General features: G+C 40.1%; 1 protein-coding gene and 1 long non-coding RNA gene across 7 annotated transcripts in view, besides 1 other annotated feature; both read right to left on the bottom strand.

Annotated features, from left to right (window-relative positions):
• Window positions 1-1,102: 1,102 nt before the first annotated feature.
• On the bottom strand, window positions 1,103-6,635 carry LOC124905207 (uncharacterized). The gene is made up of 2 exons (XR_007068306.1): window positions 4,892-6,635; window positions 1,103-1,953 (listed from the first exon to the last, which is right to left on the bottom strand). It is a non-coding gene; the product is annotated as an uncharacterized LOC124905207 (long non-coding RNA).
• Window positions 7,093-7,322: a silencer, noted in NCBI's record as "fragment chrX:117831262-117831491 (GRCh37/hg19 assembly coordinates)". NCBI's record gives its function as "represses an EF-1alpha promoter that drives an FKBP-Casp9 reporter gene in an ReSE screen in K562 erythroleukemia cells {active_cell/tissue: K562}" and the evidence as "EXISTENCE:reporter gene assay evidence [ECO:0000049][PMID:32094911]".
• Window positions 18,474-26,714, bottom strand: part of DOCK11 (dedicator of cytokinesis 11) — a 190,333-nt gene continuing 182,092 nt past the window's right edge. For all 6 annotated transcript variants that reach the window (XM_005262368.5, NM_144658.4, XM_011531276.4 and 3 more), the window contains 5 exons: window positions 23,929-24,139; window positions 23,373-23,563; window positions 22,827-22,927; window positions 21,404-21,542; window positions 18,474-18,933 (listed from right to left, as the gene is read on the bottom strand). In XM_005262368.5, the coding sequence (XP_005262425.1) occupies window positions 18,814-18,933; window positions 21,404-21,542; window positions 22,827-22,927; window positions 23,373-23,563; window positions 23,929-24,139 (762 nt within the window). In that variant the 3' untranslated portion in view covers window positions 18,474-18,813. The remainder of the gene's footprint in view (window positions 18,934-21,403; window positions 21,543-22,826; window positions 22,928-23,372; window positions 23,564-23,928; window positions 24,140-26,714) is intronic.

Below are 26,714 nucleotides of genomic sequence, written 5' to 3'. Positions count from 1 at the left end.
TGGCGTGGTCTTGGCTCACTGCAACCTCCGCCTCCTGGGTTCAAGCAATTCTCCTCCCTCAGCCTCCCAAGTAGCTGGGATTATAGGCACACACCACCATGCCTGGCTAATTTTTGCATTTTTAGTATAGATGGGGTTTCACCATGTTGGCCAGGCTGGTCTTGAACTCCTGACCTCGTGATCCACCCACCTCGGCCTCCCAAAGTGCTGGGATTACAGGCATGAGCCATGGTGCCTGGCCAAGGCAGCATTTTTATATTCCTGAATTCACATGGATTCCTTCTGAAAACAATTGTTGTTTGTAATATAAAAAATAATAAGGCCGGGCACGGTGGCTCATGCCTGTAATCCCAACACTTTGGGAGGCTGAGGCGGGCAGATCACTTGAGGTCAGGAGTTCAAGACCAGCCTAGCCAACATAGTGAAACCCTGTCTCTACTAAAAATACAAAACTTAGCCGGGAGTGGTGGCGGGTGCCTGTAATCCCAGCTACTCGGGAGGCTGAGGCAGTAGAATCGCTTGAACCCAGGAGGCGGAGGTTGCAGTGAGCCGAGATTATGCCATTGCACTCCAGCCTGGGCAACAGAGTGAGACTCCGTCTCAAAAATAATAATAATAATAATTATTATTATTATATTGGGGAGAGAGTTAGAAAATTACCTATCAGGTACAATGTTTACTATTTGGGTAATGGCTATACTAGAAGCCCACTCCCAGTACAGAATATACTCATGTAACAGACAAGCACATGTACCCCCTGAATCTAAGATACAATAGAAGCAATATCAGGCCAGGCGCAGTGGCTCATGCTTGTAATCCCAGCACTTTGGAGGCCGAGGCAGGCGGATCACTTGAGGACAGGAGTTTGAGACCAGCCTGGTCAACATGGCAAAGCCCTGTCTGTACTAAAAATACAAAAATTAGCTGGGCGTGGTGGCACACACCTGTAATCCCAGCTACTTGGGAGGCTGAGGCAGGAGAATCACTTGAACCTGGGAGGCAGAGGTTGTAGCGAGTGGAGATCACGCCACTGCACTCCAGTCTGGGTGACAGAGCGAGACTCCATTTCAAAAAAAAAAAAAGAAAAAAGAAACAACATCAATTCCTCTGGACACCATTTATTTGTGAAAAAAATAGTTTGAACACTTATCCCCAAATCATGTCATTTTAGGAAGCTTGATAACAGAGGTAGAGGTGGGGACTGCAAAGACCTGGGTGTGGGCCTGAAAAAGGAGGCTGGGTACCATGTAGCAATTGCCTTCAGGTGTTAGTGAGCTGAGTTTTTCCTCCTCCTTCCTCCCCTTTTTATTCTCTTAGATCTCTCTTCTTTTTCCCTTGATTCCTCTCAAAGTGGTGGCTTGAGTGTGAACTGTTACACCAGATTCTCTGGGTTCAAATTCCAGCATTGCCACCGATTGTGTGATCTCAAACAAGTTATCTAGCTTTGCTGTGCCTTAGTTTCCCCATTCATAAAATGAGGGATATGTGTCATTACCTAACAAAGTTGTAGTGATCATTGAAGGATTTAATTTAGAACAGTGCCGGGCATGCATTTAAGCATTGTACGAGTTATTAACATCACAATTCCCTTCCACACCCTGCTTTCTTTTGTCATTATTTACTGTCCTGTGATGAGCCCACTTAAATGACTGCCTAAGCATGATTCTTGTTTTATGAATGCCGCAGTTGTTGCGGTTTGCTTAGTTGTGGTTCTATGTTTGAGTTAACCAGAGTAACATAAACCTCTGTGACTCAGGGGTGAGTTCTCAGCTGGACAAGTTAATTCTTTGTGTTAGCCACCTTGGTAAAAAGGTCTGTCTCTCAAACGAACAAAAAACAAAACAAAAAAACAACCAAACAAGCAAACTTGAACTGGGAGAGCCTTTCTTGGCATGTCTAGTAAAACACTCTTTCCATCTTCACCACGATGTCAAGATGTCTAGAAGGCACCTCCTGTGGGGAGAAGTAGGTTTATGGGGAGTAAGAAGCAGAGAGAAAAAGCAAGGAACCCAGATAAAGTGTCTCTGAAGTTGTACCAACCTTTTTTTAGACTAGATATCTCAGATGTTTATCATTTTGTTTCTTCTTAGAGTTTAAAAAAGATATTTCCTCCTTTGTCTAGTATTAATTCATATTTATTTAATAATAAAATTGAACATTAGTTCCTATGTTTATTGACCACTTGAATTTTTTCTTCTGCAAATTGCCTATTCACGTTCTTTACCCATTTTCTTTTCTTTCTCTTTTTGAGAAGGAGTCTTTTTCTGTTGCCCAGGCTGGAGTACAGTGGCATAATCTCAGCTCATTGCAACCTCCGCCTCCTGGGTTCAAGCAGTTCTCCTGCCTCAGTCTCCCAAGTAGCTGGGATTACAGGCTTGTGCTACCATGCCCAGCTAATTTTTAGTATTTTTAGTAGAGATGGGTTTTCCCCATGTTAGCTGGTTTCGAACTCCTGACCTCAGGTGATCCACCCACCTCAGCCTCCCAAAGTGCTGGGATTACGGGTGTGAGCCACTGCACCCAGCCTACCCGTTTTCTTATTGAGAAATTTCATCTTATTGATTTGTAAGAGCTCTTTTTATAGTAAGAATATTTATCCTTATCCTATCATGTATACTACAAATATTTTACTATTATTTTCCTTTTGACTTTATAATTTTTTTTTTTTTTTTTTAGACAGAGTCTCGCTCTGTCGCCCAGGCTGGAGTGAAGTGGTGCAATCTTGGCTCACTGCAAGCTCCGCCTCCAGGGTTCAAGTGAATCTCCTGCCTCAGCCTCCTGAGTAGCTGAGACTACAGGCACATGCCACTGTGTCCAGCTAATTTTTGTATTTTTAGTAAAGACTGGGTTTCACCATGTTGGCCAGACTGGTCTCGAACTAGCCTCAGATGATCCTCCCACCGTAGCCTCCCAAAGTGCTGGGACTACAGGTGTGAGCCACCATGCCCAGCCTATAATCTTTTTAAATTTAAATTTTATATGATCAAATGTATTAATTGCTTTTCCTTTTGACTTCTGGTTTTTAAGTCTTCTTTAGAAAGACTTTCCTCACCTCTACTGCACATATAATAATCTATGCCCAGTTTTAGTTTTTAAAGGATCTTGTCTTTTACATTTAAATCTCTAATCAATTTGAAATTTATTTTTGTGTAAATAGAGAGCCCTTAAATTTTGTGCATAAGGCCGGGTGCAATGGCTCATGCCTGTAACCTCAGCACTTTGGGAGGCGAAGGCGGGTGGATCATTTGAAGTCGGGAGTTCCAGACCAGCTTGGCCAACATGGTGAGACCCCATCTCTACTAAAAAATACAAAAATTAACCAAGTGTGGTATCACGCACCTGTAATCCCAGCTACTGAGGAGGCTGAGGCAGGAGAATCGCTTGAACTTAGGAGGTGGAGGTTGCAGTGAGCCAAGATTGTGCCACTGCACTCCAGCCTGGGCAACAGAGCGAGACTCCGTCTCAAAAAAAAAAAAAAAAGGTGCAAATGCTTACCTAATTATTCCAACACCATTTATTGAATGATCTTGACACTGTTATTTCTTGAAATACAACTTTTTTTTTTTTTTTTTTTTTTGAGACCAAGTTTTGTTCTTGTTGCCCAGGCTGGAGTGCAATGGCACGATCTTGGCTCACTGCAACCTCCACCTCCTGGGTTCAAGCGATTCTCCTGCCTCAGCCTCCGGAGTAGCTGAGATTACAGGCTTGTGTCACCATGCCCAGCTAATTTTTAGTATTTTTAGTAGAGATGGGGTTTCCCCATGTTAGCTGGTTTCGAACTCCTGACCTCAGGTGATCCACCCACCTTGGCCTCCCAAAGTGCTGGGATTACGGGTGTGAGCCACTGCGCCCGGCAGAAATCCAACGTTTATCATACACATTTTTATATACATACAGATTCTGTGTCCTATTACATCCTTCTGCCTATTTCTCTATTAGTAAATGTCCAATTTATTTTTAGGTTTAATTTTTATGGGTAAAATGTTCAATTTTAATTAGCTACATTATTCATTTTAATGTCTGCCAGGGCTCCTTACTCCTCTTCTTTGGTATTTTCTTAGCTGTTTTTACATCTTGATTCCTTCTGATAAATTTTATTTTTTATTTCAATTTTCCTTTTTTTGAGACAGAGTCTTGCTATGTTGCCCAGGATAGTCTTGAACTCTTGGCCTCCAGCAATCCTTCCACCTTGGCCTCCTGAGTAGCTGGGACTTCAGGTGCTTCTGATAAATTTTATAATCATTTTGCCAAGTTAAAAAAAAAAATCCTGGCCAGGTGCAGTGGCTCATGCCTGTAATCCCAGCACTTTGGGAGGCCGAGGCAGGCGAATCACGAGGTCAGGATTTCGAGACCAGCCTGGCCAACGTGGTGAAACACTGTCTCTACTAAAAATACAAAAATTAGCCGGGCGTGTTGCACCTATAATCCCAGCTACTGGGGAGGCTGAGGCAGGAGAATCGCTTGAAACCAGGAGTCGGAGGTTGCAGTGAGCCAAGATCGTGCCACTGCACTCCAGCCTGGGCAAGAGAGCAAAACTCCATCTCAAAATAATAATAATAATAATAATAATAATAATAATAATAATAATAATAATCCTTCTGGGATTTTGACTAAGGTGGCATTGAATTGACAGATATTAAGGAGAGAAGTCACATATTTATAATTCTAACAAAATATGTCTCTCCATTGATTTGGGAGTTTGTTTTTGTCCTTCAGTAGACAAGTCCTCCCGACTTACTGCTTCTCCTTCAGGGCTAATAACTTAGAGGTCTTAGGTTTTGTTTTATTAAATAAACTATACTGCTTCATAGGTGGTAGTAGCAATGACATTGTAATTGTATGGCCTAGTTAACTTGGATGGTTTCTAGTAATGAGAAAGCCTTTACTTCACCGGAAAGTGAAAGGGATAGCCACGGAGATCATGAAGCAGATCCTGAGCACCTTCAGGTTCTTGAGTATGGCCAACCTGCAGATGAAGTGCAGAGTTAGGAATGAAGGTTGAGCAGACCACCATTACTTGTGGCATGCAAACATGTGAGGGGGCAGACAGATGTAAATGAGGGTACAAACAGCTATTAATGGGAGAGATCTCCTAGTGGATTTATTGGTGAGTTGACCAGCAAAAGGCTCCTTGAAGACAAACCAGCGGTGGAGTAGGCATCACACATTCCAGTGAGGCAGGCATTCCTTCTAGCCAGTGTTTTTCAACATCTGCACTATTGATAGCAGGAGCCAGGTGAGTTTTTGTTGTAGGAGGCTAGCTGTGCATAGTAGGATGTTTAACAGCATCCCTGGCCTCTACCCACTAGGTGTCAGTGGCAACCTCTTTGCCCCAGTTGTGACAACCAAAAATGTCTCCAGGCATTGCTAAATGTTCCCTAGGGGGTAAAACCACCCCCAGTTAAGAACCCCTCCTCTAAGATCTCAGGGACAGTGGAGCAAACAACCAAAAAATGAGCATGTGGGGTCAGTGAGTAGAATGACAGTGGTAAGGGTGGGGGGGTCTAGGTAGTTCAGTCTTGGCCAGTCGGCCTCCCAGAAAGGGGAAGTGAAAGATACCCTACCCTCATTGGGCCACATCTTGGTAGAGGGGGTGGAGTAGCTGACTTCCTAAGGATGTGCCAACATCAGAGCAGGAGAAGGAAGAAACAGAACGAGGGCAGAAACTAACTTACTCATATCCATCTGAAAGAAGACATCCTTGCTGGGGTAAATCTTCCAGGAAGGGAGACTGAAGGTAGAGAGGGAGCCAACTCAGAGAAAAATTTTAGATCTTGGGTGGAGAGAAGGAAATTACAGTAAGTTCCACCTCACAACATTTATCTAATGGAGAAGACTCATCAGATCCTAACTAAACGTGTTTTTCCGAGTTGCAGCATCTGCAGTGACTTGCTAAAATGCCCTTTGGTGAGATGAGCTGGAGTTACACGTCATGGTTGTGGAAATTGATTCAGCCAGGAAGTGGACACTGGGAAATTGTCTTGAGTGTGCACAATATAGGAATGTGAGGGTGCTCCTGGAAAGATAAAGCAACTAAGTTGTCAGGGAGGACAGGGCTTAGGAGAGTACTGTGAGATAGGGGTCAGTGCTTTACTAGAAAGCAACAAAAAGGTAGACCTCAACTCCAAGCCCCATTACCTAAGTGAGAATGAAATGTCTTCAAATAATATTGGTTGGGCCAAGTTTCCCTTAAAGGGTGTCTGTCGTTACAGAGAAGTGGGTAGGAGGTGGGGAAGGGGAACTCTGAAAACCTTTCTGATCTACTTGAGAGCCATAAAATAGCAATCTGTGACCAGTGACAGGGAAATCCAAATGAGGGGAATAAATTAAACTTAACTGTAGGAGACTGTGTATGAGAGGCTCTCTATGGAGGGAATACTGAGCAAGTCCCACTAGTTGAATTTCAAATCCAAAACCACTTTCTGTGTAGTTCTGGTAGTGTAACAAAGCCAAAGGAAGTGCCAGTAAGCAGAGAAATCCTATAGTTAGGTGGCACATGGGAATTTTCATCAATCCTCAGATGCACAAGAAAGCCATAAAGATAAGCCACTGGCTTTGTTCAAGAAGACAGACACAGGGCCGGATGCAGTGGCTCACGCCTGTAATCCCAGCACTTTGGGAGGCTGAGGCGGGTGGATCACTTGAGATCAGGAGTTCGAGACCAGCCTGGCCAACATGGTGAAACCCCATTTCTACTAAAATTACAAAAATTAGCTGGGCGTGGTGGCGTGCACCTGTAGTCCCAGCTATTTGGGAGGCTGAGGCACGAGAATCACTTGAACCCAGAAGGCGGAGGTTGCAGTGAACCGAGATCGCACCACTGCACTCCAGCCTGGCCGACAGAGCGAGACTCCATCTCAAAAAAAAAAAAAAAAAAAAAAAAAAAAAAGAAAGAAAGAAAAGAAAAGAAAAAAAAAGACAGACACAGGAGCAGGGCTGATATTCAGCCAAGATGCGCCAGTATGGCAGTACTAGTTGCTAACAGCCAGCATCTGTGTATATTTGTTGGTACTTATACCACCACACAGAAAACAATGTCCCTTCATGGGGGAACAGATCTTCACCATATGGTGAGATCAACGGAGGCCAGAGGTGACCTGTAAGATATCAAATGGCAAAAATTGCCTGACCTTGACCCATCCATTACCCCTACCTGGATGGAGGGATGGGCCCAGAGACACAGAGGGTATCATGGCTGGTAAAATTATCCTATGCTGTGGGGGAAAGATTACAGTTATAAATAACACATATATAGATGTAACAATTACGTAGATGTGCCAGGCAGCATTCCTTTTTTAAAAAAATTATTTTTATATTTTTAGTGACAGAGTCTCGCTTTTGTCACCCAGGCTGAAGTGCAGTGGCACGATAGCTCACTGCAGCCTCAAACTCCTGGGCTCTTCCAGGAGTGATCCTTCCACCTCAGCCTTCCAGAGTGCTAGGGTTAAAGGCACACACCACCATGCCCAGTCCAGGCATCATTCTCTATGCTTTATATACTTGGCTTCATTGAATCCTCACGATGTTAGGAGGTAGGGACAATTCATACCTGCATTTTACAGGTGAGGAAATGAAGACCTAGAGGGGTTAAGTAATGTGACCAAGGTCCCACAGCTTGGTAAATGACAAAACTGGGATTCTGACCCAGTCAACCTGCTTCAGAATTTGTATACTTAACAAATGTGCTGTACAGTAGGGATGCCAAAACTCTCAAGATGAGAATAATCATTAGAGGGAGAGCAGCCAAAACACCCAGGTAGGTATGGGTACCCCTAACTACCCCCCTCCCCCGGCAGCATCCCCCCAACCCAACAGTCTCATCTAGCGTCACAGAGCTATAATGAAATAAACTTGGAGGCCATCACGGTAGTGGCAGTTCTAATAAAAATGAGAAAAATCACAAGATGGTTAAACCAATGGGGAGAGCTGGAATTTCCCCTCCTGAAGATATTCCAGGGCTAAAACTTCAATTCTGAGTTTTGTTTCTACAACAAAGAAGAGGTGGTGGTGGTTAGAGAGGTTACTTTGTTTTAAAAAATAAAACATTCTGTGTAAATATCCAAAATCATTTCCATGAAAATTTCTCTTCAGAAAGGAGGATGAAGAGAAGTGGGTTAAAGGGTACAGTTAGATAGACGGAATAAATTCAATGTTTGATAGCAGAATAGGGTGACTACAGTTAAAACAAAAATGTACTTGGGAGATGGACACCTTAAACACCCTGACTTGATCACTATGCATTACATACATGTAACAAAATTTCACATGTACCCTACAAGTTTGTACAAATAATGTGGGTACATTTTTAAAAATTCTCTTACATGTGACCTGAACTGTATTCAGCTGGCTCTGTGACTACTTGGGAGTTGCTGTGGAACAAACTGCAGCAATGCTTTCTTCTGGAAGTCTTTCATTTTCTTTATGATTATTATTCTTTTTTTAGACAGGGTCTTACTCTGTCACCCAGGCTGGAGTGCAGTGGCATAATCTTGGCTCACTGCAACCTCTGCCTCCCAGGCTCAAGTTTCCTTCCCACTTCAGCCTCCTGAGTAGCTGGGACTACAGGTGCATGCCTCCACACCTGGCTGATTTTTTGTATTTTTAGTAGAGAGGTGGTTTCGCCATGTTGCCCAGGTTGGTCTCAAACTCCTGGGCTCATGTGATCCTCCCACCTTGACCTCCCCAGTGCCGGAATTACAGGAGTAAGCCACCATGCCCGGCTTCATTTTCATTTTCCTTGTTCTGATAGGGATAATTTTGTCAACTCCACCTTTCTTTCTCTCTAATCCTCTTTCATTGCATGTGTATTTGTGTCTAGATTTAGTTTGGGATGGGGAGGGAGGACATAGTACTATTACATGATATCATCGTGGCTCTGAAGGTATCTCAAATCCTGACTATGCCACAGAAGAATTCTGAAATAACCCACTGCATGAGTACTATAGGAGCTGGTCAGCTTTGCATTGAACATAATTCCACATCTATAATGGCTTAGCTTTTGCTTCTCAATCAACATATTAATTGTTACAATATATCAGTACTAGGAACTATTACTCACATTCATCAGAGACATAAGATGTCTCTCTTCAAGAATACAGAATTTGGAAGATTCGTTATTGACAGAAGAAGACTACTTTTGAATTATCTTTTAGATTATAACATCCCATCTGCATTATCTGCCTGTGAAATATTGCCTTGATCATTCATATACCTGGTTCACAGTGGGTGGTCAATAAATGTGTGATGGATGAATGAATGGTCTACAGCTTCCACACTGCAGCCTTTACCTGCTCATATGATAGTTTTCACTGATTTTCTATGAAAGGCACATGCAGTAAGCATGCAGGATGAGAAGTCTAGAGCCTGTAAGACTCAATTCTAGGAGATCTACTAAAGTAATGACTATTACAAAACACTATGGTATATAAAGAATGAGACTTGTCGATCAGAAATTGACTGAGGTTGGCTGTAAAGGTTTTCTATCAAGAGGATGAAGAAAATTGAGCATAAGTTTTCTGGACAAAAAGAAAAAGCTGATTTAACTTGGCTTGTGTCTAAGACCAAAACAGGATGAGAGAGTCTGAGAAAAAACATATAAAGAATGTTACCTGATTTTATATGCACTTTATTATTTTTGCTTTGCATATTGTGTACTACGGATGGTTTTAATTGTTGGAATTCATATAATGATAAAAATAAAGAAGTTAATTTTTTAAACTTCCTGTTAAAAACTTGGCCTAAAGTACTTCCTCAACACAGACACGCTAGTGGCAGTTCTAATAAAAATGAGAAAAATTCATGGCATTTCCTCCATGAAGCCTTTTTCAGTCTACATCTATAAAGACTCTGCCTTTTCAAGCACTTGTAACTACCACTGATTTGCTATTATCAGACTTCTTCATAATACTTTGAGACCGAGTCTTGCTCTGTTGCCCAGGGTGGAGTGCAGTTGTGCGATCTCGGCTTACTGCAACCTCCGCCTCCCAGGTTCAAGCGATTCACCTGTCTCAGCCCTCCCCCACCCCCGCACCCCCCACCCCAGTAGCTGGAATTACAGGCGTGCCACCAGGCTTGGCTAACTTTTTGTATTTTTAGTAGAGATGGGGTTTCACCATGTTGGCCAGGTTGGTCTCAAACTCCTGACCTTAGGTGATCTACCTGCCTCGGCCTCCCAAAGTGCTGGGATTATAGGCATGAGCCACCATGCCCGGCCCATAATATCTTTTTAATGTGACTATTTGTTATCTCCCTCAACCACAGTCTCTCCGAGTTCTGGGATATCTGCCCACAATACCTTGCACATAATAAAGGCTCCAGGGGTGCTGTTTATCTAAACTGGCTTTATTTCCTTGAGACTGCTCAAGCACTTATCCTGTGCTAGGTTCTGGGAAAACAGAGGTGGAAAAGTTCAGATCCAGACTCTACCCATATGGAGGTTACCTTTTAAATGAAAAAGTGGAAAAGATGAACCCTTTTTAGTCTCTAGAAAGTTGCAAGAAGTTGAAGCAGAAGACCAAAGGAAAAAGTAGAGTTGAAAACAATAGACTATAAATCAGGATACCGTGACCTCATCTCTAATTTCCTGCGTGTCTTGAGTGCATTTCTTAACCATTTATGCATCCATTTCCTTATATGTGATACAGGATCACATGAAGAATTGATTCCTATATGACATATATAAGGAGAATTGGATCAGAAAATAGATGCAAAACATGTTGGAGGAAACTTCCTGAACCAGATAAAAAGCATCCATAAAAAACCCACAGGTAACACCATACTGAAAGGTGAAAGACTGAAAGCTTTCTCCCAAAGATCAGGAACAAGACAAGGCTATCTGCAATTCTGCTACTCAATATTATACAGGAAGTTCTAGCTAGGTTCTAGGTAACAAAATAAAATAAAAGACATCAAGATTTAAAAAGAAGTAAAACTATATCTGCAGATGATATGATCTTATGTATAGAAAAACCTAAAGAAGCCACCAAAAACACGATTAAAGCTAATACAGAAATTCAGCAAGATTTTGGGATATCAGATCAATATACAAAGACCATTTGTATTTCTATAAACTAGCAATGAACAATCCAAAAATAAAATTAAGAAAACAAATCAGGCCGGGCGCAGTGGCTCATGCCTGTAATCCCAGCACTTTGGGAGGCTGAGGCAGCTGGATCACGTGAGGTCAGGAGTTTGAGACCAGCCTGGCTAACATGGTGAAACCCCGTTTCTACTAAAAATACAAAAAAATTAGCCAGGTGTGGTGCCATGGGCCTGTAATCCCAGCTACTTGGGAGGCTGAGGCAGGAGAATCGCTTGAACCCGGGAGGCAGAGGTTGCAGTGAGCTAAGATCGCGCCATTGCACTCCAGCTTGGGCCACAGCAGCGAAACTCCATCTCACTAAATAAATAAATAAATAAATAAATAGAAAAGAAAAGAAAACAAATCCATTTACAATAGCATTAAAAAGGATAAAATACTAAGGAATAAACTTCCTTGTGGGCATAAGGAATAAACAAAAGAAGTGTAAGACTTATATACTGAAAACTGTAAAACATTGTTGAAAGAAATTAAAGATGATCTAAATAAATAGAAAAACATCCTATTTCATGGGGGCTGGAACACTTATTATTATTGAGATGGCAATACTCTGCACATTGAATTACAGATTCACAGCAAATCCTGCCAAAATCCCAGCGGCCATTTTTTTTTTTTTTTTTTTTTTTGAGATGGAGTCTTGCTTTGTTGCCCAGGCTGGAGTACAGTGGTGCAATCTCGGCTCACTGTAAACTCCGCCTCCCACCTTCACGCCATTTTCCTGCCTCAGTCTCCCGAGTAGCTGGGACTACAGGCACCTGCCACCACGCCCGGCTAATTTTTTTTGTATTTTTAGTAGAGACGAGGTTTCCCCCTGTTAGCCAGGATGGTCTCCATCTCCTGACCTCGTGATCCACCCACCTCGGCCTCCCAAAGTGCTGGGATTACAGGCGTGAGCCACTGCGCCCAGCCTGCCTTTTTTTTTTTTTTTTTTTTTTAAACAGCTATTGACTAGCTGATGCTAAAATTAATATGGGCCTGGGCGTGTGGCTCATGCCTGTAATCCTAGTACTTTGAGAGGCCGAGGAGGGTGGATCACTTGAGGTCAAGAGTTCGAGACCAGCCTGGCCAACATGGTGAAATCCCACCACTACCAAAAATACAAAAATTAACCAGGCATGGTGGCATGTTCCTGTAATCCCAGCTACTCAGGAGGCTGAGGCAGGAGAATCACTTGAACCCAAGAGGTGGAGGTTGCAGTGACCCGAGATCGTGCAACTATACTCCAGCCTGGAGGACAGAGTGAGACTCCGTCTCAAAAAAATAAGATAAAATAAAATAAAAATGGAAATGCGAGGGGCCTAGAATATACAAAACAATTTTGAAAAAGAATAAAGTTGGAGGACTCACACTTCCAAATTTCAAAATCTTACTACAAAGCTATAGTAATTAAGACTTTGTGGCACTAGCGTAAGGACAGATACAGAGGTCAATAGAATAGAACTAAGAGTCCAGAATAAACCCACATATTTTTGGTCAATTGATTTTTTATAAGGGTGCCAAGGCAATTGGATGGGGGAAAGATTCTTTTCAACAAATGGTGCAGGGAAAACTGGTTATCCACATGCAAAAGAATGAATCTGAATCCCTACAACACACCATATACAAAATTAGCTCAAAATGGACCAAAGACCAAAAGTAAGAGTTAAGATTATAAAACTCTTAAGAGAAAACATAGGTGTAAATTTCTGTGAAATTGGATTACGCAAGGTCTTCTTAGATACAATGCCAAAGCACAGGCAACAAAAGAAAATATAAATTGGACTGCATCAAAATTTTTAAAAACTTGAATGCTTCAAAGAACACCATCATGAAAGTGAAAAGGCAACACACAGAACAGGAGAAATATGTTTAAATCATATACTTGCATCTCGAATAAAGAACCCTGCAACTCAACAATAATAGTAATAATAGTAAAGCAACCTGATTTAAAAATGGGCTAAGGGGCTGGGAACGGTGACTTATACCTGTAATCCCAGCACTTTGGGAGGCCAAGGTGGGTGGATTGCTTGAGGCCAGGAATTCGGGACCAGCCTGGGAAACATGGCGAAACCCCAATTCTACAGAAATTAGCCAGGTGTGGTGGTGTTCATCTGTAGTCCCAGCTACTTGGGAAGCTGAAAAGGGAGGATCGCTTGAGCCCGGGATGGGAAGGTTGCAGTGAGCTGAGATCGCACCACTGCACTCCAGCCTGGGCAACACAGCAAGACCCTGTCTCAAAAAAGCAAATGGTCTAAGGACTTAAAAGAGATATTTCTCTGAGGAAGATACAAAAATGGCCAGTAACCACATGAAAGAATTCTCAACATCATTAGACATCAGGGAAATTCAAATGAAAACCACAAAGAGATACTACACACTTGCTAGGATGGCAATAATCAAAGAGGCAGATAATAACAAGTGTTGTCAAGAATATTGAGAAACTGGGACCCTCATACATTGCTGGTGGTAATATAAAGTGGTGCAGCTGCCGTGGAAATCAGTCTGGCAATTCTTCAAAAGGTTAAACATGGAGTTACCATATGAACCAGTCATTCCACTTCTGTGTACATGCCCAAGAGAACTAAAAACATGTCCACACAAAAACTTGTGAGTGTTCACAGCAACATTATTCACAGTAGCCAAAAAGTGGAAATAACCCAAATGTCCATCAACTGATGAGAAGATAAAATATGGTGTATCTATATAATGGATTATTATTTAGCCATAAAAAGGAATGAAGTACTGATACATTCTACAACATCGATGAACTTTGGAAATATGCTATGTCAAAGAAGCTGGACACAAAAGGCCACATATTGTATGACTGCATTTATATGAAATGTCCAGAACAGGTAAACCTTGTAGGGACAAAAAGTAGATTAGTGGTTGCCAGGGGCTGGAGGATGATGACCGGTAGGAGTGACTGCTAATGAGTATGGGGTCTCTTTCAGGTGATAAACATGTTTTAAATTGTAGTGATACTTGCACAACTCTGTGGATGTAATTTTAAAAAACACTGAATTGTGTACTTTAAATGGGTAAATTGTATGGTATGTGAATTATATCTCAATAAAAAGGAAAAACAAAGCAAAAAAAAAGAACATTGGAAAAGTTTTAAAATGCTATGCACAGAGGCAAAATCTTAGAACTTAGCCACGACTCCCATTAGGAGATGAACAAACATAGATACACTGTTTTTAGACAGTGACCATTAAGTGCTTAGAAAAAAAAAAAAAAGATAAATAAAGCACTCTTACTCACCAACTCCCAAGACAGGGGTATAGCCTTGTTACACAAACCCACTCCCCACCCACAACCAACTTTTACTCCTTTCCTCTCCTTGTCTTTTGATAGCTGAACTAGTGTACTGTTAGAACAAGACTGAGACTAAAGGTAGCCCAACATTTTGGAGATCAGAAGCCCAAGACATATGTCTAATTATCAATGTTTTGAAGAGTTTGGAAATTCCTATTAATCCATTATATCACTCAGGTTCTTCATCTCAGAGAAAGCTAATATCTCATGGAACAAACCTGCACATGTACCCCCTGAACCTAAAAGTTAGAAGAAAAAAAGATACGAAATAGTTTTTTAAAAATGTGCGTTCTTATTATCATGACTTATCTAGTTTCTTAATTAGAGTCATCTCTAGTTCTAGGATGATGTGTTGTTGGTCAAGGTTCCAAGGACATTACTACCACTGCTGCTTTCTGTTTCACTTTTGAAAATATATAATATTTTGATAGGCAGCCAAATCATATAAATACGGTAACAATAACAATCCCATCTATATACATGATGCCAGTGGTGACAACTGGTTACTAGGAAAATTTCCATGGAATTTCTTATTTTCTCTATGGTTTTTCACCGTAGTGATAAACTAACACTACCAAGGGTGACTTAATCACATTTCACAGTATGTCCAAAGACTATCAAAACAACAACTTCTAGGGGAAATTGGACTCAAGCTTAACTGCAAAACAATCAGTATAGGAGAAATGTATTCTTTGGTGTTAATTAATTTGTAGAGGACAAATCACTTCAAGAAATCATTAAACTATATACACTTTAATGCCTAATACATGTAGTGTTTAAAAAACAGATTTACCTAGCTTTCTCTGTTCGAGCCCACCTTGTTCTCTACAGCTTGCTACCTTTAGTCTGAGAGTTGGAAAAATAAATCTAGTGAGCTTGTGCCATGACATGGCAAACTCCCTGGCCACAGGACACAAAATTATCTTTCACATTTCTTTTTTTTTTTCCCTTGGCCATCCAATGAGTCTTACCTAGTCCTTCCATATATGTCTCTGGGACTCGTCCTTTCTTCTCCATTCTTGTCATATCACTCACATCTAGAGGTTTATTGAATTTAGTTTATTGCAATATCTATGTAACTGGTTTCCTAATTTCCATGTCTCTCTACCTCAAATACATCTGGCAGCAATATAAAAGATTAAATTTCTAAAAATAACATTTAATTAAGTAATCTGTTTAAAAACCTTGGCTAGCTCTCTCATGCCTATTGAGTAAACTCCAAATACCATTAGCCTGGTATTCAGCGCCTTCCAAAATCTCAGTCCGAATGTATTTTATTTCTTTTTTCTTTCTTTTTGTTGTTGTTGTTGTTGTTGTTGTTGACAGAATCTCACTCTGCCACCCAGGCTGGAGTGCAATGGCATGATCTAGGCTCACTACAACCTCCACCTCCCGGGTTCAAGCGATTCTTGTGCCTCAGCCTCCCAAGTAGCTGGGATTACAGGTGTGTACCACCATGCCTGGCTAACTTTTTTTTGTATTTTTATTAGAGACAGTGTTTTACCATGTTGGCCAAGCTGGTCTTGAACTCCTGGGCTCAAGTGATCTGCCTGTCTCAGCCTCCCAAAGTGCTGGGATTACAGGCATGAGCCACCACGCCCAGCCTGTATTTTCTAGATTTATCATCTACCACCTCTTGGACAAAACTGGTCTCCTTACTATCCCCTGAACCTCCACAAATTCTTTTTGCACCTTTGCTTATGGTGTTCCTCCTGCCTAGAATACCCCTCTCCATTTTTGGAAGCCTGTTCAAAGCTTAACTTTTCTTCACTAAACCCTCCCTGAACATTTACAATTCACAGTGATCTCTTTCTTTGAATGTGATTTGAGTTATGAATGCTGTCGTTCATTTGGCAATACTCACATATGACTTCTCCTGTCTTACATTGTTAATTCTTGTACTATTTAATTTTGTGCGTCTTGCTTTCTCAACTAGACTGCGAGATCCTTGGCAATAGGGGCCATTTATTACATTAAAAAATCTACCCACAGTGCATATTGCTGTGCTAGGGGCTTTGACAGGGACTAGTTACAGACAGAAGAGTGCTGGAGTCTCCTCAAGATGCCAAACTCTCAGAATGCAGCATTTACTAGAGGTGATGATTCCTCACACATACATATCAAATATAATCACTTTAAAGGTGAAACTAACTCTACAGGTTACTCTAAGATATTAAGGAATTACAAACTGCCTTGGAAATACTTGTAAAAGTCCCCTATTAAAATACAAAATTAACTTTTAATAAATAAGTTCATGCTCTCCTGAAAGCTTAAAAATGACATATAAAGAAAAAATGGGCTGGACGCGGTGGCTCACGCCTGTAATCCCAGTACTTTGGGAGGCTGAGGCGGGTGGATCACAAGGTCAGGAGTTCGAGACCAGCCTGAGCAGCATGGTGAAACCCCGTCTCTACTAAAAATACAAAAATTAGCTGGGCGTGGTGGCACCTGCCTGTAATCCCAGCTACTCAGGAGGTTGAGGCAGGAGAATCATTTGAACCCGGGAGATGGAGGTTGCAGTGAGCCAAGATGGCGCCACTGCACTCCAGCCTGGGTGACAGAGCAAGACTTTGTCTCAAAAAAGAAAAAATGGTACCCCCCAAAAAATAAAAATAAAAATGGTCAGGCCAGGAGCATAATCTCTAGGATTTACTTGATCACAAAGTGCTCAAAAAGCCAAGGCCCCGTGCAATCCATTTATATTTTAGTGACTGTTTTTTCATCTGTAAAAGAGGCTAAACCACATAAGGAAAATAAGTGTAGGCTGGGCAAAGTGGCTCATGCCTGTAATCCCAGCACTTTTGGCAGATCACGATGTCAGGAGATCGAGACCATCCTGGCTAACACAGTGAAACCCCGTCTCTACTAAAAAAAAAATACAAAAAATTAGCCGGGCGTGGTGGCAGGCGCCTGTAGTCTCAACTACTCGGGAGGCTGAGGCAGGAGAATGGCGTGAACCAGGGAGGCAGAGGTTGCAGTGAGCCAAGATCGCGCCATTGTACGCCAGCCTGGGCGACAGAACGAGACTCCATCTCAAAAAAAAAAAAAAAAGGAAGTCTAGAACCCGAGTTCCCATAGAAGGCAGCCAAAATGATTTGGATAATTCAAGCTAAAAAATGTCATTCACATCTTGGTTTCTCCTGAATTATTTAGGCAATCTGAGATTTCTTCATAGACAGAAATATAATCCCAAGCTAGTTTGCCAAATCTGTGGTGGTTTTCTACATTGACCCAAGACATGCTGCAACCATTAAGTTCTAATCAAAATGTTTATTAATCTTGTAACTGAAGAAAATAATCATTACAAAACTCCTACCTCAGATTGCTGTAAAAGCTTTGAAGTTCTGTGGGATGTACTGACTGCAATCTCAGAAATGTTTTATCTTTGTAGATGGCCCCAGATGATAAAGCTTTGGCAACAAATGCTGCTTGCCCTGTATAAATCCCTTAGATGTCTTGTATGTAGAAGGGAGACCTACTAGATTACCTAGCGTCATCAGATCATAACATATATATATGGTATCTCAAGCTTACTATTATATATATGTTATATATACAGAGTCTCACTGTCGCCCAGACTGGAGTGCAGTGGCGTGATCTCAGCTCACTGCAACCTCCACCTCCTGGGTTCAAGCGATTCTCCTGCCTCAACCTCCTCAGTAGCTGGGATTACAGGCATGCACCACCATGACCAGCTAATTTTTGTATTTTTAGTAGAGATGGGGTTTCACCATGTTGGTCAGGCTGGTCTTGAACTCCTGACCTCATGATCCGCCTGCCTCAGCCTCCCAAAGTGTTGGGATTACAGGCATGAGCCACCGTGTCCAGCCTAAGCTTCGTATATTTGTAAATATATCCTTTCCTTTTGAAATTTTCTGTGAAATAATGCTTTTGGTTCCTTTAGCCCAGCCTTGACTACTAATTGGCAAGGATTCAAATGATCTCCCCAATTTTAAATATCCGTGTATTACGGAAATGTTATCAATTTTCTTCTCCTCCTACCAAGGATTAGTATGATAATGAATTGAGCTTCTTGTCAAGAAAAATGCTAAGTTCAAAGTATTATTTCTTTCACTTCTAATTACAAATAAGTTTTACCTTTTATTGTATTCCATTATACAATTTTACATAGTACCATTATTTTAAGCAATAATTAAGCAAATTGAACTACTGTTTTTGAGCTCTACTTTTCAGCATATAGATTTACCTAAAAAAGTACAAACCAAGCACAGTGGTGCAATTTTCCAGGCACTTTCAAGTTGCTTATTTACAAATATGTAAGCACCCTGTTGGAACACATGAAAATTTTGGTGTCGAGAAGAAACACTCCATGTATATCAAATCTTTAAATTTTAACATTTGCACAGCTCCAAATATTCCTGAGAAAGGTCAGTCTCATTGTCACGTACATCTGCATTTCCTCACACTTCAGCGTATCTTGGGGAACCATAACCTCGGTCACTTGATGTACCACTAATTGCACAAAATACATGTAATGTGTTGCTCATCCAGGGAGAATGCATTGTGTCTTCTTGTAATATCTAAAACAGAAGAAATCAGCATGATTATCATGAAGCAAAATAGCCACTGCCAAAAAAAGAATGTGTATATGAAATTGCAGGCATATTTCAATTTATCACTGACAGTTATTTAAAAAGACAGAAAGCAGAGAGAGCAAAGAATAACATTACCGACTTAAGTCTTCAAAGCTGTATTACAAAGGCAGCATATCAAAAAAGCAGAAAAGATCTAGTTACTCATTAAGAAAAACAAAGACTGTAAAATGCAAAATTCAATAAAAAGCGAGAGGTAACACAATCTTTAAAATATTTTTTAACAGATGGTCATAACAAGAGCTCTAAATGGTAGACTCTGACATGAGTTTATGAATGATCTAACACAGTGGTTCTCAGAATCATCTATGGGACTTTTGAAACATGCAGATACCTATGTTCCTTCCCTGGAGACTTGAAAATAATAGTAAATGAAGATAAAAGTCTTAAGTGCATATTTCTAAAGACACATTATAATTGTATAAGCTAATTGATACAGAAGATTTTTCTTGGAAAGGAAGAACTTCATAAATATAAAATTTAAAGATTGTATTCCAGTAAGTATATAAACATAGATATTCGTATTAGTTTAAATATTTTTTAAATGATCCATTTTGTGTAATCTAAAGAAAAAGCAACAGAAATCTTGTGCTTAAAGTAGATTGAGGTAAAAAACGCTATATACATTATATCCACTCTCTTTACCATAAAGTCCTAACTTAGGTCCCAAGCTTTCAATACTTGGTTCTCAAGTTAGTTGTGAAACTTCAGTATTAAGCCCACAGATTGATCTATAGTGGCAGTATTGAGACATATCATTTGTGTTGCTACAAATCATAAGGCTTAAATAAAATTTATAATAGAGAAATTTCCTCTTACAAAAATATTAACTCATGACACTAATCTGAAAGCATACTAGAATGTTAAGAGATGAATAACTGATTATCTATGCTGGTCAGATGTGACAGGCAAGGAGGGTACTTATTGCTAAGAAATTACAAAACATACCCAACAGATGCTACAATGACCACCCCCAACTCTATCTGAGAAATCTGTAATTTATAGCTTTATGATAATATAAATCCTTTTAAAAATCAAAAGCAGCCAGGCGTGGTGGCTCACGCCTGTAATCCCACCACTTTTGGAGGCCGAGGCGGGTGGATTACGAGGTCAGGAGATCGACACCATCCTGGCTAACATGGTGAAATCCCCATCTCTACTAAAAATACAAAAAAATTAGCCAGGCGTGGTGGCACGTGCCTGTAGTCCCAGCTACTTGGGAGGCTGAGGCAGGAGAAATCACTTGAATCCGGGAGGCGGAGGTTGCAGTGAGCTGACATTGTGCCACTGCACTCCAGCCTGGGCGACAGAGTGAGACTCCCTCTCAAAAAAAAAAAAAAAAAAGAAAAAAAAAAGAAAAAAAAGCTTGAAGAAGTTTTTGAAAGGACTATATACTTCGGTATTCTGTAACAGATTACACTGAAAGGGGACAAGGAATATCCAGTCATGTCTTTTTGTCAAGTAATCATTTATGGAGCTCAAGAGAATATTTCAAATTTCAGTACACATTAACACTTGTCTTACTTCTCAGTATTAATATATGCCTCAAAGTGTATGACTACAAGGTGGCTCTCTTTTATGTGAAACTCAATTCACTACAAAGTCAACATTTGCCAAAAGTAAGGCACACCCAAATATGTTTCATAATGACAGGATGGCTTGCATAAATATAAGCCAATAGAAACTAAGAGTTTTCTTGGTTAGCTATCAATATACAATATTAAGAGTCTAAATTATTGGTCTCTATATCTAAGAGAAATAGCCATGTTTTATGGGAATAACTGATACAGACAAGTGGGAAATACGACAGTAGATTTGAAAAATCCATGCTTCAAAAGGAAAACAAAATTTTATAAAATGACCACTCAGAATATCTTGATTACAGTAATAACAGTACATTGAATAATTTGTTTTCAATTTGAATAATTTAGAGTTCAACACTAGGTCATGCAGCTGCATGCAAATGAAATAACTGTAATATAGTAGATACTCACTTAAAATAGCATGTGCAATTGTCATATCTTTTGTGAAGGAGGAATTTTTGCTGCTTTTTCTATGCATTATGAGGAATAGAAACTCATCAACTAGATAGTTTCTAAAAACAAACTATGTAATCTATTTGATAACGGTATACCTCAGTTCAACCTCTTGCCTCTGACACTGGAGCACAAAAAACAAAATGGTTTCTTACAGATAACTGCATCACTAACCACTTTAGATAATTGTTGCAAATTTGATTTGTATTGTATCACTTAAATGATTAAAGATAATATGAAAAAAGTTTAAAATATAGACTTAATAACTTTAAGGTTGTGCATTTTGAACCATTATATTTTGCTAAGCAACAATTTTGGGACCCGCAGATCATGTTTTCAGTTTTAGTCACCCTAATACTTGCCTGCTCATGGATAATGTCAGATAATTCTTTTACCATGTCTCTGAAATTTGACTTTAGCCCTTCATGGTACTCAACTTGATCTTCTTTAATTAGCCGCTCATTTAGTTCAAGTGCAATGCTGCATGCTTGTATAAATTTCCTGTGGATGAATATCAAAGATAAAGGTCTTGTTATTTATTCTTAGGAAGTATCACTGACAATCCATTTGATAACTCAGTTTAGCCATGGCTTGCCTAGGAAGAAGATCAGAATCCTCTATTTTCTCACTGTGCATTTATTTCTTAATGTCTCTTCCTAAGTCTGAAATGCCTTCTTTCCTTTCCACCTTTGCCTTATGGTTTCATTTCTTATCTCCTTCAAGACTTGGCTCAAAACACATACCCTCTGGAAAGCCTACTTGCTCAATCATTTCCTTGGCATTCTATCAGCTAAAGTTGTGCTGACATTAATTTGCACCTATAAATAACGAGTCATTCATTCAAAAAGAATTTATTTTGAGCTTACTATGTGGCTAGTACAGTGCTGGGTGGTACAGGTATGAAGGATCTTCCCTGGGCTGCTAGGAAGGAGAACAGAAAGTTGATGACCTATCATAAAAGTCTTTTTCCATTATTTCATGTGTTTATGTTTAATGTCCACAATTAGAGTGTAGGTCTTAGGGGACAAAGTACTTCATTGTCCATTTGTTTTATATCCCTGTCATAGCAACAAATAGTCTTTTGCATGTACCAGGCATTAATACTGGTGAATGAATGACTACTGGTTACTCTGCACTCTGGAACAGCTGATAAAACATAGACAGGAAAAGTAAACAAAATAAGTCGGGAGCAAATGAGTGGATAGATTATCATCTTTCTCCTTAGTCCATATTACTCAACTGTTTCTCTTCTTCTGAATGAAGACTTTTATATATTAAAGATATTTCTCTAATGTAGGAGCATTCATACATGCCTAAGCTTACAGAGCCGCTCACTGAAGACAAGATGTTGCATGCCCTAGTTTGGCAGAGTCCAAGTAGAAGTAAGGACAGGGGACTGGAGTGAGCCTATGCAATCTTTCCTGCCCCACTTCTATTCCTACCCCAAATGGTCTGAAATGCTGTAACAGGAGGTCAATTGGGTGAAGAAGGAAAGCACATAAGGAACATAGGCTTGTGTTTGTGTCACTTAAAATATTCAAAGCAATATAGTAAACTGGCATATTTAATCTCTTGGGTCACTAGGGTATTGTTAATGTCCTGCAGGATGAAACTGATCTCACATTTGCTCAAAGTGCCATTAGGAGGTCACTTAGATATTGTAAAAGACCACAGAGAATGTCCCTTTTTGGAAGGGTATTATTTGGTCAATACTTTGTTGTTTTTTAAAAGAAGAAAATAGAGAAAACGAACACGGGTCTAACCTGAAAACTATAAAACACTTACCTAAACATGTCTTTCAACTCACTCACTTTCTTAGGTGGATACTTGCTAGCTTGGCTGTCATTTAAGAAAGCTCTTGCATATGCTAATGGACCAGCATTGACCTATATCACAATAGAAGAAAAATGAGAGTGTTTCCAGAATGCAATAATCAAAAGAAGTTTTGGCATTTCTCTTTTTTATTAAAAATCCCAAAATATACAAGAAATCCATATCTGAGAAATATATGCTTATTTCAAGTTTATTTCAAAAAACCATTAACTAAAGAAAATAATCTACAAAGATGATATTCTAGTAAGTTAGTGATTTCTGATATGTACATACAGGGCTTCGCTACAGTCATCGGACTTATGTTAAAGTCCTCTGACATAACACAAAACTTTAAAAAATTCAATGTAATATCTTCATTAAATGAACAAAAAATAATGCACAGGTTTTTGCACTCAGTAAGTGCCCAACACATAATTACAATTAATGCTTGCTCTGTGCCCTTATAAAACCAAAAGAAACATCAAGAAACATTCAATACATGTTGGATGACCAACGTACCTGCACAGAAACACAGCCCTGCAATTTAAGTTGGAGCTGAATCATGTCCACGTCAGTAGAGGAGCAAAGCTTTTGCAGCTCTGCAGTTTTATCTTTTATTTCATCAGTGGCAACATCAATTGGTTTTAAATTAATCTGCTGTTCACAGTTAATAGGAATCCTCTTCTTCACGTAAGGAAACGAGTTTGAAGCTATTAAAATGTTAAGATTGATTTACTGACTTTAGAAAATCATTTGTTCAAACAGCCAAATTAAAGAAAAAACTCTATTGTGCTTAACTCTCCCCATCCTTTATCTAGAAGATGACTTAGGGTCCCATATAGTACTTCAGGATTCAGAGAGAAATTCTCTTTATGAGACACCTCTGGGCAATCATGGATGACATATGGGAAAATGATGGTTTATCACATGGACGTGCTTGTGCAAACTTGTAACTGAACAGCAGAACAAATAATAATTAAAATTTCAGTTGTATGTTCCAGCTGGCCAGCTGCTACTCGTGTATGCTGAAAAAGACCAAGACAAATAAGAAGTTAATATGTAAAATTGTACTTACTTGTCAAGATTGTACGGCGTTTGCACTGTTCTTCTATACAGCCCTGTTTTTTGCCTGATAAAGTGTAAGGGGCCTCAAAAACAAATCTGCTGATATTATGATTTCTTTCAAACTCGGTCTTCCTTTCTGTGAGTTCTTTGTCATCAAAGTAAGGCTTCACATAAGTAACTTGTATATGAGCATATTTTGGATCAAGCTCTTTGGCATTTACCTATAAAATAAGAAAGTTTTTATTTATTTATTTTATTTTATTTTTTATTTTATTCAGTGGAAGGGAAAAGGAGATAAGGTAACCTACTAACTTCTTTGAGACCAAGTGAGGAACATTGCCATTATAATTGTGTTTCCAATAAAGGGCGTCTTCATTCTTCTTTTTAAAAATCACTTACTTCTGATTATAAAGAAGTTACAGAAATCTATTTGGAGACTACAGAAACATACGAAGAAATTAAAAATTACTGTAATTGGCCAGGCACGGTGGCTCATGCCTGTAATCCCAGCATTTTAAGAGGCCGAGGCGGGCGGATCACTTGAGGTCAGGGGTTTGAGACCAGCCTGGCCAACATGGTGAAACCTTGTCTCTACTAAAAACACAAAAATTAGCCAGGCGGGGTGGCATGAGCCTGTAGTCCCAGCTACTCAGGAGGCTGAGGCAGGAGAATCACTTGAGCTTGGGAGGCGGAGGTTGCAGTGAGCCGAGATCGCGCCACTGAACTCCAGTCTGGGCGACAAAGTGAAACTCTGTCTCCAAAAAAAAAAAAAAAAAAAAAAAAATTACTGTAATCCTACTACCCAGCAATGATCATTATTCACATTTTTATATATTTCCTTCTCATCTTTCTTCTATGCCTATGTATTCAGAAAATTGAGGTCAGACTAAACAGTTTTGATTGTGCATTATGTGAATTACACCTCAATAAAAACACAGGTATCATAGTTTATTTATTTATTTTTGAGATGGAGTCTCGCTCTGTTGCCCAGGCTCAAGTGCAGTGGTGTGATCATGTCTCACTGCAGCCTCAGCCTCCTGGGCTCAAGTGATCCTCCCACTTCAGCTTCCCGTGTAGCTGGGACCATAGACATGCACTACCATACCTGGCTAATTTTTAAATTTTTTTGTAGAAATGAGGTCTCCCTGTGTTGCTGAGGCTAGCTTGGAACTCCTGGGCACAAGTGATCCTCCTGCCTCAGCCCCCTAGTGTTGGGATTATAGGCATGAGCCACCATGTCTGGCCAATAGTTTATACTATAGTCACTGACATTACTTTTAATGGCTGTATGGATAAACATGACTTATTGGACCATTCTCTCATTAGTGGAGACAGGCTGTTTTCCAACTTTTTGCTGTTGTAAATAATGTTCTGATGAACATCCTTGTATTTAAAACTGTGTGCATTTTTTTTCTGATTTTTTCCTTAGGATAAATTCCTAGAAAAGAAATTGCTTAGTTAAAAGATTTACATGGGGCCAGTTGCAGTGGTTCATGCCTGTAATCTGAGGGCTTGGGAGGCCAAGACAGGAGGATTGCTTGAGCGCAGGAGATTGAGACCAGCTTGGGCAACATAGCAAGACCCTGTCTCTAAGAAACATAAAAAAATTAGCTGGGGTATGGTGGTAACACACCTGTAGTCCCACCTATTCAGGAGGCTAAGACAGGAGGATTGCTTGAACCCAGGAGTTTGAGACCAGCCTGGGCAACATAGTGAGACCCCGTCTCCACACACACACACACAAAAACCCCACAAGAAACAAAAATAAGCCAGGTGTGGTGGTGCACACCTGTAGTCCCAGCTACTCAAGAGGCTGAGGTGGGAGGATCGCTTGAGCACAGGAGGTCAAGGCTGCCGTGAGCTGTGATCGTGCCACAGCACTCCAGCCTGGGCGACAGAGCCAGACCCTGTCTCGAAAAAAATTAAAAGCGGCCAGGCGTGGTGGCTCAGGCCTGTAATCCCAGCACTTTGGGAGGCTGAGGTGGGTGGATCACTTGAGGTTAGGAGTTCGAGACCATCCTGGCCAACATGGTGGAACCCCAGCTCTACTAAAAATACAAAAATTAGCCAGGTGTGGTGGTGAGCGACTGTAATCCCAGCTATTAGGGAGGCTGAGGTGGGAGAATTGCTTAAACCCAGGAGGCGGAGGTTGCAGTAAGCCAAGATGGCACCAATGCACTCCAGCCTGGGTGACAGAGCAAGACTCTGTCTAAAAAAAAATAAAATAAAATAAAAAGAAAAGAAAAAAATATACATCTTGATAGATTCATATGGACACTTACAAATCTCTCATGCTTTTTAATGTCTAGGTGGTTATATCCATTATATGGGTAATACCGCCATTTCTTTAACCATATGGACATTTAGACTGCTTCCAGGTTTTTGCTATATAAATTTTGTGGCAGTGAACAACTTTAAACATATACATTTATATGTGTACATCTACAAGATAAAATGTTAAATGTGAAATTGTTGGGTCCAAGGACACATACATTTAAAATATTGGAAGATATTGCCAAACTCCTCTTCAAATTGCCTTTGCCCTTAAGCAGATTTTGTTCTTTGGCAAGGGAAAAGAATATTTTTAATTTTTATTTTCACAAACTGAGAAAACAATAAATATATTTTAAAAGCCAGAACTGCTTATTATGTCTGTTGCCTGTGGGGAACTACTAAAATATGATACATAACAAACATCAGGAGTCCAGCCACCTGTAGTGGTTTGTCGCTAGCATTCTTTGGCCCAGTTTTCAGAGGCAGAATAAGGTAGAAAACTGCATGTTGCACAGAAAGTCT

The sequence above is a fragment of the Homo sapiens genome, chromosome X (genome assembly GCF_000001405.40).
Source record: "Homo sapiens chromosome X, GRCh38.p14 Primary Assembly".
Classification (NCBI taxonomy): Eukaryota; Metazoa; Chordata; class Mammalia; order Primates; family Hominidae; genus Homo; species Homo sapiens.
Note: the sequence above shows the minus strand (reverse complement) of the source record. Positions and strands in the feature narration are given on the sequence as shown.